Raw genomic sequence first — 17812 nt, 5'->3', positions numbered from 1 at the left:
AATGTGTCCTTTTGTTGGAAAACAGAAGGTGAATGCTAATGCTGAGAGAGACTTGGGGAGCCAAATGAGTTCTTGTCTTCAAAGCTCTTAGAAGCTCTCTCTGCCTTCCACTCCTCTCTCTCTCTCTCCTACTCCTACTTGGAGTAGCAGTTTGAAGCCGGTTCTGTAGGATCAGAACTTGGAAGTGTGAGGCCTGTCCTGTGGCCAGCAGACAGGCGTAGTGACCCTGGGCCAGTCACTTCACCTCTGCCCCTCTGTCCTGGTGTCTGCAAAATGACAAAATGGAATGGCGTGAAGAGGTGCACATCAGCAGAGGAGCTGGGGATGGGACATTGGGAGCAGAAGTGGAGAAACAAAGGCCTGGGTGTCATGTGTCATGGTTCTTGCCACAACTCAGTCACCACCTAGCTCCCTCGAAGTAAGCCCTTTACTTTGAAGGCCTCAGTTTTCTTATCTGTATAATGGAGGGTTAGATTGCATCAAAGGGTTGCAAACATTTTCTCTGAAGGGCCAGAGAATAAGTATCTTAGGCTTAGTGAGCTGTAAGGTCTCTTTTGCAACCACTCAGCTCTGCCGTGATAGCCTGAAAACAGTCAAAGAGAATATATAAATGAATGAGCATGGCTGTGTTTGAATAAAACTTCATTTATTAATATAAAAACAAGCAGTAGGCCATAGTTTGTCAAGTGCTGGATTAAATGACACATAAGGTTATTTCTAGCAATAAAGCTATATGTTTTATCTTATGAAGACAAAACCTATTAGTGTGTGAAATTATTGGTTCTTTTATTTGCTATGTGATTAACTGAAACTATACATTAGATAGGTATCTTGGTATAGACTTTTTTAAAATCTCATGGAATTTCAGACCCTTAGAGCCCAAAGAGATTTTAGCAATCATAGAGTCCCACGGCACCCTTCATGCTGAAAGCTCCTCGACAAGTTCCTAACTCCTGGTTATCTGTATTCTGCAAAGAGCCTGTCATCTAAGGAGGCAACCCACTCCATCCAAGCTCCTGTCTGTGAGCAGGTTCTTAGTGAAGGCAGAATCTGCTTCCGTGTAACTTTCTCCCAGTGGTCCTAGTTATGCCTGCTCCTTCATTCCACATTTTCTTTCTAGCTTTGTCTCCAGGAGTGGAGCTGTGGTTCTCTTACAGAGTCCATGAGGTTTGCTTCAAAGGACCACCTCAGTTCTGCCTCCTTCCCTCCAGTCTGAACCTGACTCTGGGCCCATCACCCCCGCCCCTCCCAATTGCGTCATGTCGGGTTTGCTCACCCTTGCCCAGATTTTTAAGGTGAGCAATTCTGTGGGACTGTCTGCTTGGCTTTCCATTCCAGCTGTGCTCCTGACTCTGTCTTTTAGAACCCGCTTGACTCAACCTCTGTGCTCTTCCCAGACACCCAGAAGCCCTGCTGTGTCCAGCCCCTAGGTCCCAATTCATTTAGGAAAAAGGTTTAGAATATACCATAACCCTTTAGATATTTTAAGTGCATTCTTTCAGACCAGTGAGACCTCCAGTGCCTTCCATGTACCTATAAAACCCATAGGTCTGCCATTCCTGCCTTGAATAAAACAACTAACTACCTTCTTGATGGAAACCTATGCTAACAAAGCACATATCCATAGAAAAATAAGTGCCATTAAGACTGCAAAGAAATGGGGCCCCTAGAAGCTGCACTTTTCACATGGGAATTAATGGATAGGAGAAATAGCAGCTTCTGCTGATGAGGAAATGTGATATGGGGTGCTAAGACTAAAAGCTGGTTGTCTAAATTAAGAAAGGAAAATGTGCCTCACAACTGATACTCATCCCCTTACAAAAAAAAATAATAATAAAAGAAAAAAAGAGAAAAAGTGTGCTATTTGGAAGTCTGTTAGTCTGCTGTTGTATTTACAGCAACAGCAAACTACATGTCCCACAAGATACAAAATGCAAAATAGATAAGTATCCTACTCAGGGATTGTTGAGTAGGATTCTTGAATTCTACTGGAATTCAACCAGAATTCTACTCAGGGAGATCATATGTCTCCTTAAACTAAGGGGGAAAACAGCAGAAAGAGACCATAGTGCAACACAGAGTTCTGGGGGGTCTGAAAATTCTAAATTTGAATTTGGTCTTCCAGATATGAGGATATAGTTGTCAAAGTAGGAGAATACCACATATTTTATTTAGCATTTATAGGTTTCATTTATTACTTTAAAAGGCAGAAGTCAAGGTCAACATCAAGGGATGTGGTGACCCCTTAGCCAAGACAGATGGCAGGGCGCTGCCATTAGAGACAAAGCGTCATGGGATCCTAGAAGGCTGGAGCTGGAAGGAACCTTAAGATTCACCTGTTCTTAATTCTCCCATTTTACAGATAGTTGTTGAGGCCAAAGGGATGCTCAAGGTCACAGAGCAGAGCCAACACTTGAACCCAGCCAGTGTTTTCCCATAAGTCGAAAGGGGATTTTTCAGCTGAAGAGGGTAAGATTACTGTAGGACAACTCCAATTGGAAAAAATACACTGGAAGATGAAATACATTAAAGCCTCGGGGTTGGTGAAAATAGACTCTTCTTTCTGAAGGGTCCTAGAGAAAAAGAACTTTTTAACCCCAGAGAGGGCAGGTGGATCATGCTGCAATCTGGCTTTCGTTGTTGGGGGTTGTTTGATTTTAAACCATAACCTTGCCAATCTGCTGATGGAAATTTACTCCCCCAAAGTACCTTCTTGATAGAGAGGGCAGACGCTTCTCTTTCCCTGGCTGAGCGCCTATCACTACGGAGAAATGTTGCCCTGGACAGAGCCAAACCTGGCCTATGTGGGAATAGCATCCCCCTCCTGAATACAGACAAACAGCAATGCAGGGTGACCAAGCACCTGCAGCCTAGTGGCCACCTCTTCTCTGGGGCCTGGAAAGCAGGGGCAGGATCCCATCTCTGGTTCTGGTCAGAGAGAATGAAGAGCCCAGAAGCCAACAGGAGTCTGCACACATGTCTGAGCAATCCCAGTTAAACAGCGGAGAAAATGCCACAGGGATGTTGTCTCCAGCAGCCCCACCAAGAGCCACAGGACACATGAAAGCTGCAGAATGCAACCAGGCCTTGGGCCAAGAAGCCTGGCTTTACAAACTGACCAGCTTTGCTGGGTGCAAGGAGAGGTGCTAGGGGCCTATGCACTTAGCTGTGTGCACTCACACACAGTCACAGGTCTGTAGGAAGAGAAAGCACTGTGGTGAGATAGTAGGAGTATTTTACATCTCTCTAGAACATTACAGTCTTGAAAAGACCTTCACACCTTTGACCTTGTTTTCTGTTTAGAGAACAGGTATTGTTATTTCCATTTCTTACACAAGGAAGTTGAAGTTCAGAAAGATCCAAGGATTTGACTGAGATGGGAAATGGGCAAAAGTGGCTCCAGAACATAGCTGACTTCTGGCTTATTTCACAACTGTTCCTTCCAGCTTTGGTGTCATCTCCTCTGGAAGCCCTTTCTTGAGCCCTCAGCCGCTCCAAATGCCTTTCAGCACTTACAACGGTGTCCTGGACTCACCTCCTTCTTTGTCAACCTTTGATAGATCATAAGCTGCCCCGGCGAAGGTAGGGATCATGACATGTTTTTCTCTGCCCTCAGGCCCTAGGACATCCCCGGCACACAGATGCTGCACAATAAGTACCCAGGGTCCTCTCAGCATGGCTTCCAGGGCCCATAGGATCTGTCCCACCACTGGGCTGCTACCTCTTTGACCTCACCCCTACCTACCTTCCCAAGTGGAGCTCAGATGCACAAAGCACTCTCTGGTCACCCCAGGGCCTTTGCCCTTGCTTGTCCCCTCTGCCTGGAACACTCTGCCTCCAGATAACCATGCATGCTCTCCCTCGCTCCATTTGGGTGTTTGCTTAAAATGACAATGTGACAACATTCTCAAAGAGGCCATCTCTGCCTTCTGTCTTAAAAAGCAGCCCCATCTCTCATTACCTTTATCTTGTTTGTGTATCGTCTCTTTCTCCGGCCAGTATGTAAGCTCCCTGAGAAGTGGGAGCTTTGTTTCGTTTACTGCTGTGAGCCCAGAGCTTGGAGCGGTCTCTGGCACTCAGTAGACTTTTGTCAGATGAACGAACAAACCATGCTGTTTCATGTTCAGGCAGCCAAAGGTGTTTTCTGTCACATCTTGAGAGGACAGTCATACCACATGCTCCTCCCAAAACTCTCTCACCCTTTCCCCTCTAAAATTTGAGAATCACCACCTCTATGCTATCAATGGAGAAGGCTAAAGGGAACTTGTTCCAGAAGACCAGACTATCTCCCTGGGAGTGAGGAGGCCCCAGGATACACATGCATCAGATGTAGTCTAACTCTAAGCTGTTTGCCAGGGTGGCCATGGTTTCTGAGTTTGGGAAGGAAAAAGAGAACAACAACAAAAAAATATGCTATATTGTTGTCTCTTTTAAAGTAAAGATTCCACATTGGTATTCTCTTCTGGGAAGGCTCCTCATCTTCCCCTCCCGTGTCCTCTGAGGTAACTAGCACAGGGAGGAATGAGTAAAGGCCACCTCCTCCCTACTCCCACTATCTGTTCTAATGCAGGATGGACCAAGTCTTTTCAAGTCCTGCTGGAAATCTCCTGGCTGGAAACCTTCCCAGACACCCAGTTTTCTTGCTTGCAGTGCATTTCTTCTTTTCTCCTTGAAAATTGGTTCTGGAGAATTTGTCTCTATTATAAACCCCTTCCTGGGGGGAAGTGTAGTATTCAGTATTCACACAGAACTTTCTAAATGCCAGTCTTTCCAAAAGGTGGCACATCTATTCCAAACTGGATCAAAATTAATTCTGAAAAATTTGAACCATTTTATGAATGAATGAATGAACCAGTCGGCTTCAGCACAAGCTCTTGTCATTTAATAACTATGACCCAGGGCACCCTCCTTCCCTGAGCCTCAGTTTTCCAACCTCTAAATGGGCATTAGACTATGTTCTGCACAGGTTTGTGTCAAGAATTTAGTTGGATCATGCATGTGTTAGCACCTCAAAAATTCGAATGTGCAATGGAAATGTATTTTTATCATCATGCACCCAAAGGTGTGCCCAGCATAGAGTGTGCACAGAGGAGGCCTTTGGCTGAACAGTGGAAGGATAATTGGTGTCTATGTGATTTATTTATTGTCCCATGTCTTGTTTTGTAAAGGATTTGCATGTCTAACAGGTGTCTTCAGGTTAGTGGGCCCTAATGTGGTGGGCAGTGCTAAGGGTTCTGATGGGCTGCTTTCTTTTGACCTGTGTTTGACCTTCACTGGTTTTCACCAGTTTGGACCCTGACACTGCCCCTGCGAAGATGGCATCTTCTTCTGTTCTCCATTCCCCACTGAGGAGAGAGCTGAATAGAGGCCTGTTGGTCTCAGAGGTACACCCATCTGCACACTGGCCCATCTCCTATGCCTGTTCAGCCTCCCTTCTGTCCCAGGAAACACCCTTTCATTGCTGCCCAGGGCTGCTTAAGGCAAAATACTTAAGAGAGTTCAGGGAAAGCCAGCTGGGACACTATGGCAGGACATGCCTTGCAGAAGGGTGGCAGGTGTGGCTCCAGTCCTTCCAGCCAGCTGGAGGAATTTTCAGGATTCCTTAACTTCTGATGCCACATACACATCCCACTAATTTGAGCATCATTTGTTTGCAGATATCCTTGGAGGGTAAATCCTAATGGGCATTCACACCCCAGTGAAAATAAATTTAGTTGTATGCTTAGTCGCTAATGTTTGTAAGGCTTTCACACGTGCTGTCTCATCACACATTTAATTTAATCTTCATAGTTCTGTGAAGTAGCTGTTAGCCCTGTTTAACAGATGAGGAAACCAGAGCTGGAGCAGTGAAGTAATCTGAACATGCACCTGCAAGGAACAGAGTTGGGATTTCAAACCCAACATTATCCCCCTGGAAAGTAAGTCTTTTTCTCCCAGGAAGTCTGTAAGGAGGCAGAACACTGACTAGGGGATCCACAGGACCCACCAAAGGAGGGTCTTGGCCAAGGCCAACAAACCTGGTCCAGAGGCCGTGTTGAGAGTCGGTTTGCTCACCTCCTCACCTTGACCAGGACAGCATGTGCAGGGTCTGGGGCCATTGAGCATCTTTCGACTGAGTGACCATCAGACAGCATAGCTGAGCCTCTTTCCCTACAATAAGTTTCTGTATTTTTATTTTTTTAATTAGAAAACAGATTTTTTAAAATCTCTCATCTCTCTAACTTAGCTAATTGAACAATGCACTTTAAGTGGATTTCCCAATAATATAGACATGAGTGTATTTCTCAACTCTGGCAATTATTAGTGATATGACTATGGCAAATTACATAACCTCTCTGCACCTGGGTTTCCACATCTGTAAAATGGGAGTAATGCTAGTATGTACCTCATAGGATTGTTGGGAAGACAAGTTGACTGTGTAGTATTTACACAGGGCCTGGCATGTAGGAAGTGCTCACAGAATCCTAGGTGGACCATAGCCTTGCTGCCATATCTCCATCTGTTATTGGTTTGAGAGCAGGGGTGTGGATAATGCCTGCCTCATGGAGTGATGGAGCACCAGCATATTCTAGCCACTCCTTGAATAATAAGGCTCCTCAGAAAGGAGCAGCTGGAGTGGGACGTTAGTGTGTACTCCTTTTGTCATCATTAGAATCCAAGAATTAGTATCTTTTTTTCAAGGCCTTCCCTGAGGCCGACCCATGAGAGCACTTGGTCTTGCAGCATTTGGAGGCAGATTCTTTGGGAAGGTGCCCTTTCAAACTCCAGAGACTTCACTCCTAGACTAATTCAGACTGTTGACCTAAAAAACCTGATTAGTACTTTTTAATAAACAGGGTGAATTGAGGTGAAGATCACAAGAAATGAAAACGGCTGGGCTTCATAGAATTCTGCTTTGCTTTGGGCTCACACCTTTATTTTCTTCATCCTTAATCTGTTTTGTGTCTGTCAATCCAAGGACCAGGGTTGTGAGCACAATTATAATAGAAATGTGGTAAATAAGTAAGAAGGCTAATCCCTGGTAAATCTGTTTTGAAGATGGGAATGACCAAGCCAGAAGAGAATTGCAGAGCAGTGGACAGATATACCCCAAGAATTTAGGCAGGGGCAGTGATGCCAGAGAGGCTAGGCTGCTTCTGGAGATGAAACTGCAGAATTATAGCCAGGGAAGGACACAGCACTGAGTCATGTCTTCTGATGTTAAAATAAAGAAAACGTGACTTCGAGAGCCTGGATCACACAACTTAACTGAACTCAACTTATATTCTCTTAGGCAAAATCTCTATGACCTGGATGGAAATTTAGCCAGAGAGCAATAAGAATGGAACAGGCAATGAAGTATAGCCTCTGGGAAGCCAGGGACGCTGCTCTATGGCTAGTTGTTTCTTAAATGTTAGAGGAAATTAGATAATAATGCATATTTGCTGAGTGCTTATTATGTGCCAAGAACTATGCTGTGAACTTTGATGACCTGCATTCGTTGGATCCCCTGAAAAACCCCCATGCAGAGGGCATCCCAGTCCACTTACCACTTGACAGTTTTCTGTTATAAAGACGTAGACTTTGACCTTGGGAGTTTGACTTTTCCCCCACTTCAGGTGACCAAAAGGAAGTGATATTCCCAGTTAACTTGTAACTAAAGCAAGAGACTTTTTATATTTCCAAAATAGACTATAAGCACAGCAAGGACACTGTCTGCGAATCACAGTCAATGTGTTACTGCTGTAGACAGCTGCTCCAGCCTCTGTAACAGGTAGCCCTGTACTTATCTGAGATTTCTAACTTGTTCTCTACACTTGTGTATTAGGCCTCTCAACTTGATAACCCAGCTCTGAAAGCAGAGGCCCATTGGTGGGAGTGCAGAGAGCAAATATGAAATTCAATATAACCTTACCCTTCCTATCCCTGCCTATCAGTCCTGGAGAGAGTTCCTATTTCTGACAACTTCGTACATTTGGAGTGTCCTTGATGCAGAAGGCAGCACTAATCCGGATGGATCCTAGCCACCTGGACATCATGGTTGCTTGACCCAGAGGAGATATGAAAGAGAAGGGCCAAGTCTATGCTAGTGTTTGTGGGATGGTCAGGAGACACCTATCTACAGTGGCCCCGTCAGCTTATCTTCACACAGAGACCTTACACTTTCCATGCTCCAAGCTGGGTTATCCAAGATGGTAGTTCATATTGGTCATTTTATTCACCCCAACTCCTGTATCCTCCTTCATATTTGCCCAGCAGGGACATTTCAGGTTTCTGTCATTTCTATATACATTTATAGGGGCACAGACTTTCCAAAGCTTGATTATATAGTGCCAATATATGCTCACACTTGTAACTTCTTAATTCACAGCCTGTCCTAATACCTTTTTATCTCATTATACCTTCTGCCTCACTCCTCACAAGTCTAAATATGCTCAGTTGCACAGAGCTCTGCCAGATGCTCTGGGAAGGTATCACAAGCTGAGTCTCTAATAGTTGGGCGCATAGGCTCTACTCTCTAAAAGCAGAGACTCCTCAGGTCTCCCTGTGTGGCTCCATTCAAAGCTGGATACCATCTTAAGTCACTGTTGCCCACCAAGCCACTAGCCAGTGTGCACAGGTGATATAGTCACTGTTTCTGTGACAGGCAAGCAAGAAAGCAGTGGTGAAGTTAACTCTCAGCTGGCTTTGGGTACTACCACATGGGAGAAAAAGACATTGATTGCTTACCACTTGTGTTGGCCTCAGCCACAGGGAAAAAGAACAATAATAATAATAATGAGTAATGTCCAAAACAGCAGAAGTGAAAGCTCACTTGCTGTCTCTTACTGCCTGACTCCTCAAAGATGCCCAGCTCTGCAGAGGGAGGATCTGAGGTTGGGATTTCATGATACCCAGGGAATAGCAGGATCAGGGCCAGTGATAAATCCCCATTCTCTTTCTTTTTTTTAATATTTTTTTCTTAAGTTATTGGGGTACAGGTGGTATTGGGTTACATGAGTAAGTTCTTAAGTGGTGATTTGTGAGATTTTGGTGCACCCATCACCCGAGCAGTATTCACTGCACCATATTTATAGTCTTCTATCCCTCTCTCCTCTACTTCCCCCCAAGTCCCCAAAGTCCATTGCATCATTCTTATGCCTTTGTGTCCTCATACCTTAGCTCCCACATATCAGTGAGAACATACGATGTTTGGTTTTCCATTCCTGAGTTACTTTACTTACAATAACAGTCTCCAGTCTCATCCAGGTCACTGCAAATGCTGTTAATTCATTCCCTTTTATGTCTGCATAGTATTCCATTATATATATATATATATATATATATATATACATATATACATATATATATATACACATACATATATATATATATATATATACATATATACATATATATATATATATACATATATACATATATATCACAGTTTCTTTATCCACTCGTTGATTGATGGGCATTTGGGTTGGTTCCACAATTTTGCAATTGTGAATTGTGCTGCTATAAACATGCGTGTCCAAGTATATTTTTCAAATAATGACTCTTTTCCTCTGGGTAGATACTCAATAGTGTGACTGGTGGATCAAATGGTAGTTCTACTTTTAGTTCTTTAAGGAATCTCCACACTGTTTTCCATAGCAGGCTGTACTAGTTTACATTCCCAACAGCAGTGTAGAAGTGTTCTCTGTTCACCGCATCCACACCACCATCTACTGTTTTTTGATTTTTCATTTATGGCCATTCTTGCAGGAGTGAGGTGATACCACATTGTGGTTTTGATTTGCATTTCCCTGATCATTAGTGATGTTGAGCATTTTTTGATATGTTTGTTGGCCATTTGTATATCCTCTTTTGAGAATTTTCTATTCATGTCCTTAGCCCACTTTTTGATTGGATTGTTTGTTTTTTTCTTACTGATTTGTTTGAGTTCATTATAGATTCTGGATATTAGTCCTTTGTCAGATGTATAGGTGGTAAAGATTTTCTCCACTCTGTGGGTTGTCTGTTTACTCTGCTGACTGTTCTTTTTGCTGTGCAAAAGCTCTTTAGTTTAATTAGGTCTCAACTATTTATCTTTGTTTTTGTCACATTTGCTTTTGGGTTCTTGGTCATGAAATCCTTGCCTAAGCCAATGTCTAGAAGGGTTTTTCCAGTGTTATCTTCTAGAATTTTTATAGTTTTGGGTCTTAGGTTTAGGTCCTTAATTCATCTTGAGTTGATTTTTGTGTAAGGTGAGAAATAAGGATCCAGTTTCATTCTGCATGTGGCTAGTCAATTATCTCAGCACCATTTGTTGACAAGGGTGTCCTTTCCCCCACTGGATGTTTTTATTTGCTTTGTCAAAGATCAGTTGGCTGTAAGTATTTGGATTTATTTCTGGGTTCTCTATTTTGTTCCATTGGTCTATGTGCCTATTTTTGTACCAGTACCATGCTGTTTTGGTGAATATGGCCTTATAGTACAGTTTGAAATCAGGTAGTGTGATGCCTCCAGATTTGTTCTTTTTGCTTAGTCTTGCTTTGGCTATGCATGCTCTTTTTTGTTTCCGTATGAATTTTAGGATTGTTTTTTCTAGTTCTGTGAAGAATGATAGTGGTATTTTGATGGGAATTGCATTGAATTTGTAGATTGCTTTTGGCAGTATGGTCATTTTCACAATATTGATTCGACCCATCCATAAGCGTGGGATGTGTTTCCATTTGTTCATGTCATCTATGATCTCTTTCAGCAGTGTTTTGTAGTTTTCCTTGTAGAGGTCTTTTGACTCCTTGATTAGGTATATTCCTAAGTATTATATTTATTTTTTATTTACTTATTTTTGTAGCTATTGTAAAAGGGGTTGAGTTCTTGATTTGATTCTTTGCTTGGTCACTGTTGGTGTATAGAAGAGCTACTGATTGGTGTACATTAATCTTGTACCTGGAAACTTTGCTGAATTCTTTTATCAGTTCTAGGAGCTTTCTGGAGGAGTCCTTAGGGTTTTCAAGGTAAACAATCATATTGTCAGCAAACAGTGACAGTTTGACTTCCTCTTTACCGATTTCGATGCCCTTTATTTCTTTCTCTTGTCTGATTGCTCTGACTAGGACTTCCAGTACTATGTTGAAGAGAAGTGGTGAGGGTGGGCATCCTTGTCTTGTTCCAGTTCTCAGAGGGAATGCTTTCGACCTTTCCCTATTCAGTATTATGTTGGCTGTGGGTTTGTCGTAGATGGTTTTTATTACATTAAGGTATGTCCCTTGTATGCCTATTTTGCTGAGAGTTTTAATCATAAAGTGATGCTGGATTTTGTCAAATGCTTTTTCTGCAGCTGTTGAAATGATCATGTGATTTTCGTTTTTAATTCTGTTTATGTGGTGTATCACATTTATTGTCTTGTGTATGTTAAACCATCCCTGCATCCGTGGTATGAAACCCACTTGATCATCACGGATTATCTCTTTGATATGTTGTTGGATTCAGTAAGCAAGTATTTTGTTGAGGATTTTAGCGTCTATGTTCACCGAGGATATTCAGTCTGTAGTTTTCTTTTTTGGTTATATCCTTTTCTGGTTTTGGTATTAGGGTGATACTGGCTTCATAGAATGAATTAGGGAAGGTTCCTTCTCCATCTTGTGGAATAGTATCAAAAGGACTGGTACCAATGCTTCTTTGAATGTCTGATAGAATTCTTATATTAATCTGTCTGGTCCTGGACTTTTTTTGTTGGTAATTTTTAAATTACCATTTCAATCTGCTTGTTATTGGTCTGTTCAGGGTATCTAATTCTTCCTGATTTAAGCTAGGAGGGTTGTGTTTTTCCAGGAATTTTTCTATCTCTTCCAGATTTTCTAGTTTATGTGCACAAAGGTATTCATAAGAGCCCTGAATAATCTTTTGTATTTCAGTGGTGTCAGTTGTAATATCTCCTGTTTTGTTTCTTAGTGAGGTTATTTGGATTTTCTCTCTTCTTTTCTTGGTTAATCTTGCCAATGGTCTATCAATTTTATTTATCTTTTCAAAGAACCAGCTTTTCGTTTCATTTATCTATTGTATTTTTTGTTTGTTTCAATTTTATTTCGTTCTGCTCTGATCTTGGTTATTTTCTTTCTTCTACTGGGTTTTGGTTTGGTTTATTCTTGTTTCTGTAGTTCCTTGAGGTGTGACCTTAGAGGGTCAGTTTGTGCTCTTTCAGTCTTTTTGATGTAGGCATTTAGGTCTAGGAACTTTCCTCTTAGCACCGTCTTTGTTGTATCCCAGAGATTTCGGTAGGTTGTGTCATTATTGTTCTTCAGTTCAAAGATTTTTTTTTTTACTTTTGTATATGTTTTTATTGATGAAAGTTTTTTGATATAACTTCAACTTTTATTTTAGATTCAGGGGGTACATGTGCAAGTTTCTTACATGGTATATTGTGTAATGCTGAGGTTTCGGGTATAAGTGATCCCATCACCCAGGTAATGAGCATAATACCCAATTGTTAGTTTTTCAACTCTTGCTTCCTTCCCTCCCTCTCTCCCCCTCCAAGTAGTCCCCACAGTCTGATGTTGCCATCTTTTTGTCCATGAGTACCCAATGTTTAGCTCCTACTTAGCAGTGAGAACATGCAGTATTTGGTTTTCTGTTCCTGTGTTAATTCACTTAAATGCCCTTAAATGCTCTTAAATTCACTTAAATGCTCACTATATGACAATGACCTCCAGCTGCATCTGTGTTGCTGCAATGGACATGATTTCATTCTTTTGTATATTGTATAGTATTCCATGGTGTATGTGTACTATATTTTCTTTTTTTTTTAATTTAAGTTTTAGGGTACATGTGCACATGATTTCATTCTTTTTTATACTGTATAGTATTCCATGGTGTATGTGTACTACATTTTCTTTTTTTTTTATTTAAGTTTTAGGGTACATGTGCACAATGTGCAGGTTTGTTACATATGTATACATGTGCCATGTTGGCGTGCTGCACCCATTAACTCATCATTTACATTAGGTATATCTCCTAATGCTATCCCTCCCCCCTCCCCCCACCCCACAACAGGCCCCGGTGTGCGATGTTCCCCTTCCTGTGTCCATGTGTTCTCACTGTTCAATTCCCACCTGTGAGTGAGAACATACGGTGTTTGGTTTTTCGTCCTTGTGATACTTTGCTGAGAATGATGGTTTCCATCTTCACCCATGTCCCTACAAAGGACATGAACTCATCATTTTTTATGGCTGCATAGTATTCCATGGTGTATATGTGCCACATTTTGTTAATCCAGTCTATCATTGTTGGACATTTGGCTTGGTTCCAAGTCTTTGCTATTGTGAATAGTGCCGCAATAAACATACGTGTGCATGTGTCTTTATAGCAGCATGATTTATAATCCTTTGGGTATATACCCAGTAATGGGATGGCTGGGTCAAATGGTATTTCTAGTTCTAGATCCCTGAGGAATCGCCACACTGACTTCCACAATGGTTGAACTAGTTTACAGTCCCACCAACAGTGTAAAAGTGTTCCTATTTCTCCACATCCTCTCCAGCACCTGTTGTTTCCTGACTTTTTAATGATCACCATTCTAACTGGTGTGAGATAGTGTCTCATTGTGGTTTTGATTTGCATTTCTCTGATGGCCAGTGATGATGAGCATTTTTTCATGTGTCTGTTGGCTGCATACATGTCTTCTTTTGAGAAGTGTCTGTTCATATCCTTCGCCTACTTGTTGATGGGGTTGTTTGCTTTTTTCTTGTAAGTTTGTTTGAGTTCATTGTAGATTCTGGATATTAGCCCTTTGTCAGATGAGTAGGTTGCGAAAATTTTCTCCCATTCTGTAGGTTGCCTGTTCACTCTGATGGTAGTTTCTTTTGCTGTGCAGAAGCTCTTTAGTTTAATTAGATCCCATTTGTCAATTTTGGCTTTTGTTGCCATTGCTTTTGGTGTTTTAGACATGAAGTCCTTGCCCATGCCTATGTGCTGACTGGTATTGCCTAGGTTTTATTCTAGGGTTTTTATGGTTTTGGGTCTAACATTTAAGTCTTTAATGCATCTTGAATTAATTTTTGTATAAGGTGTAAGGAAGGGATCCAGTTTCAGCTTTCTACATATGGCTAGCCAGTTTTCCCAGCACCATTTATTAAATAGGGAATCCTTTCCCCATTGCTTGTTTTTGTCAGGTTTGTCAAAGATCAGATAGTTGTAGATATGTGGCATTATTTCTGAGGGCCCTGTTCTGTTCCATTGGTCTATATGTCTGTTTAGGTACCAGTACCATGCTGTTTTGGTTACTCTACCCTTGTAGTATAGTTTGAAGTCAGGTAGCATGATGCCTCCAGCTTTGTTCTTTTTGCTTAGGATTGACTTGGCAATGCGGGCTCTTTTTTAGTTCCATATGAACTTTAAAGTAGTTTTTTCCAATTCTGTGAAGAAAGTCATTGGTAGCTTGATAGGGATGGCATTAAATCTATAAATTACCTTGGGCAGTATGGCCATTTTCACGATGTTGATTCTTCCTACCCATGAGCATGGAATGTTCTTCCATTTGTTTGTATCCTCTTTTATTTTGTTGAGCAGTGGTTTGTAGTGCTCCTTGAAGAGGTCCTTCACGTCCCTTGTAAGTTGGATTCCTAGCTATTTGATTCTCTTTGAAGCAATTGTGAATGGGAGTTCACTCATGATTTGGCTCTCTGTTTGTCTGTTATTGGTGTATAAGAATGCTTGTGATTTTTGCACATTGATTTTGTATCCTGAGACTTTGCTAAAGTTGCTTATCAGCTTAAGGAGATTTTGGGCTGAGGTGATGGGGTTTTCTAGATATACAATCATGTCACCTGCAAACAGGGACAATTTGACTTCCTCTTTTCCTAATTGAATACCCTATATTTCCTTCTCCTGCCTGATTGCCCTGGCCAGAACTTCCAACACTATGTTGAATAGGACTGGTGAGAGAGGGCATCCCTGTCTTGTGCCAGTTTTCAAAGGGAATGCTTCTAGTTTTTGCCCATTCAATATGATATTGGCTGTGGGTTTGTCATAAATAGCTCTTATTATTTTGAGATACGTCCCATCAATACCTAATTTATTGAGAGTTTTTAGCATGAAGGGCTGTTGAATTTTGTCAAAAGCCTTTTCTGCATCTATTGAGATAATCATGTGGTTTTTGTTGTTGGTTCTCTTTATATGCTGGATTATGTTTATTGATTTGCGTATGTTGAACCAGCCTTGCATCCCAGGGATGAAGCCCACTTGATCATGGTGGATAAGCTTTTGGATGTGTTGCTGGATTCGGTTTGCCAGTATTTTATTGAGGATTTTTGCATCAATGTTCCTCAGGGATATTGGTCTAAAATTCTCTTTTATTTTTGTGTCTCTGCCAGGCTTTGGTATCAGGATGATGCTGGCCTCATAAAATGAGTTAAGGAGGATACCCTCTTTTTCTATTGATTGGAATAGTTTCAGAAGGAATGGTACCAGTTCCTCCTTGAAGCTCTGGTGGAATTCGGCTGTGAATCTATCTGGACCTGGACTTTTTTTGGTTTGTAAGCTATTAATTATTGCCTCAATTTCAGAGTCTATTATCGGTCTATTCAGAGATTCAACTTCGTCCTGGTTTAGTCTTGGGAAGGTGTATGTGTCGAGGAATTTATCCATTTCTTCTAGATTTTCTAGTTTATTTGCATAGAGGTGTTTATAGTATTCTCTGACAGTAGTTTGTATTTCTGTGGGATCGTTGGTGATATCCCCCTTATCATTTTTTATTGTGTCTATTTGATTCTCCTCTCTCTTCTTCTTTATTAGTCTTGCTAACGTCTATTAATTTTGTTGATCTTTTCAAAAAACCAGCTCCTGGATTCATTGATTTTTTGAAGGGTTTTTTGTGTCTCTATTTCCTTCAGTTCTGCTCTGATCTTAGTTATTTCTTGCCTTCTGCTAGCTTTTGAATGTGTTTGCCCTTGCTTCTCTAGTTCTTTTAATTGTGATGTTAGGGTGTCAATTTTAGATCTTTCCTGCTTTCTCTTGTGGGCTTTAGTGCTATAAATTTCCCTCTACACACTGCTTTAAATGTGTCCCAGAGATTCTGGTATGTTGTATCTTTGTTCCCATTGGTTTCAAAGAACATCTTTATTTCTGCCTTCCTTTCGTTATGTACCCAATAGTCATTCAGGAGCAGGTTGTTCAGTTTCCATGTAGTTGAGCAGTTTTGAGTGAGTTTCTTGATCCTGAGTTCTAGTTTGATTGCACTGTGGTCTGAGACACTGTTATAATTTCTTTTCTTTTACATTTGCTGAGGAGTGCTTTACTTCCAACTATGTGGTCAATTTTGGAATAGGTGTGGTGTCGTGCTGAAAAGAATGTATATTCTGTTGATTTGGGGTGGAGAGTTCTGTAGATGTCTATTAGGTCTGCTTGGTGCAGAGCTGAGTTCAATTCCTGGATATCCTTGTTAACTTTCTGTCTCATTGATCTGTCTAATGTTGACAGTGGGATGTTAATGTCTCCCGTTATTATTGTGTGGGAGTCTAAGTCTCTTTGTAGGTCTCTAAGGACTTGCTTTATGAATCTGGGTGCTCCTGTATTGGGCGCATATATATTTAGGATAGTTAGCTCTTCTTGTTGAATTGATCCCTTTACCATTATGTAATGGCCTTCTTTGTCTCTTTTGATCTTTGTTGGTTTAAAGTCTGTTTTATCAGAGACTAGGATTGCAACCCCTGCCTTTTTTTGTTTTCCATTTGCTTGGTAGATCTTCCTCCATCCCTTTATTTTGAGCCTATGTTTGTCTCTACAGATGAGACGGGTTTCCTGAATACAGCACACTGATGGGTCTTGACTCTTTATCCAATTTGCCAGTCTGTGTCTTTTAATTGGAGCATTTAGCCCATTTACATTTACGTTAATATTGTTATGTGTGAATTTAATCCTGTCATGATGATGTTAGCTGGTTATTTTGCTCGTTAGTTGATGCAGTTTCTTCCTAGCCTCAACGGTCTTTACAATTTGGCATGTTTTTGCAGTGGCTGTTACCGGTTGTTCCTTTCATGTTTAGTGCTTCCTTCAGGAGCTCTTTTAGGGCAGGCCTGGTGGTGACAAAATCTCTCAGCATTTGCTTGTCTGTAAAGTATTTTATTTCTCCTTTGGTTATGAAGCTTAGTTTGGCTGGATATGAAATTCTGGGTTGAAAATTATTTTCCTTAAGAATGTTGAATATTGGCCCCCACTCTCTTCTGGCTTGTAGAGTTTCTGCCGAGAGTTCAGCTGTTAGTCTGATGGGCTTCCCTCTGTGGGTAACCTGACCTTTCTCTCTGGCTGCCCTTAACATTTTTTCCTTCATTTCAACTTTGGTGAATCTGACAATTATGTGTCTTGGAGTTGCTCTTCTCGAGGAGTATCTTTGTGGTGTTCTCTGTATTTCCTGAATTTGAATGTTGGCCTGCCTTACTAGATTGGGGAAGTTCTCCTGGATAATATCCTGCAGAGTGTTTTCCAACTTGGTTCCATTCTCCCCGTCACTTTCAGGTACACCAATCAGACGTAGATTTGGTCTTTTCACATAGTCCCATATTTCTTGGAGGCTTTGTTCGTTTCTTTTTATTCTTTTTTCTCTAAACTTCCTTCTCACTTCATTTCATTCGTTTGATCTTCAATCACTGATACCCTTTCTTCCAGTTGATCGAATCGGCTACTGAAGCTTGCGCATTCGTCACATAGTTCTTGTGGTATGGTTTTCAGCTCCATCAGGTCCTTTAAGGACTTCTCTGCATTGGTTATTCTAGTTAGCCATTCATCTAATTTTTTTTCAAGGTTTTTAACTTCTTTGCCATGGGTTTGAACTTCCTCACCATGGGTTCAAACTTCCTCCTTTAGCTCG

The 17812-nt window shown here is 41.3% G+C and overlaps 1 protein-coding gene across 4 annotated transcripts in view, besides 1 other annotated feature; it reads left to right on the top strand.

Annotated features, from left to right (window-relative positions):
- Positions 1-17812, top strand: part of FAM78B (family with sequence similarity 78 member B) — a 111084-nt gene that overhangs the window by 47800 nt on the left and 45472 nt on the right. The window lies entirely within an intron of this gene.
- Positions 2614-2783: an enhancer, noted in NCBI's record as "experimental_946 CRE fragment used in MPRA reporter constructs". NCBI's record gives its function as "activates a minimal promoter by MPRAs in K562 erythroleukemia cells, with activity observed for the non-introgressed 1:166085741 variant allele {active_cell/tissue: K562}" and the evidence as "EXISTENCE:reporter gene assay evidence [ECO:0000049][PMID:34662402]".

The sequence above is a fragment of the Homo sapiens genome, chromosome 1 (assembly GCF_000001405.40).
Source record: "Homo sapiens chromosome 1, GRCh38.p14 Primary Assembly".
In the NCBI taxonomy this organism is placed as follows: domain Eukaryota; kingdom Metazoa; phylum Chordata; class Mammalia; order Primates; family Hominidae; genus Homo; species Homo sapiens.
Note: the sequence above shows the minus strand (reverse complement) of the source record. Positions and strands in the feature narration are given on the sequence as shown.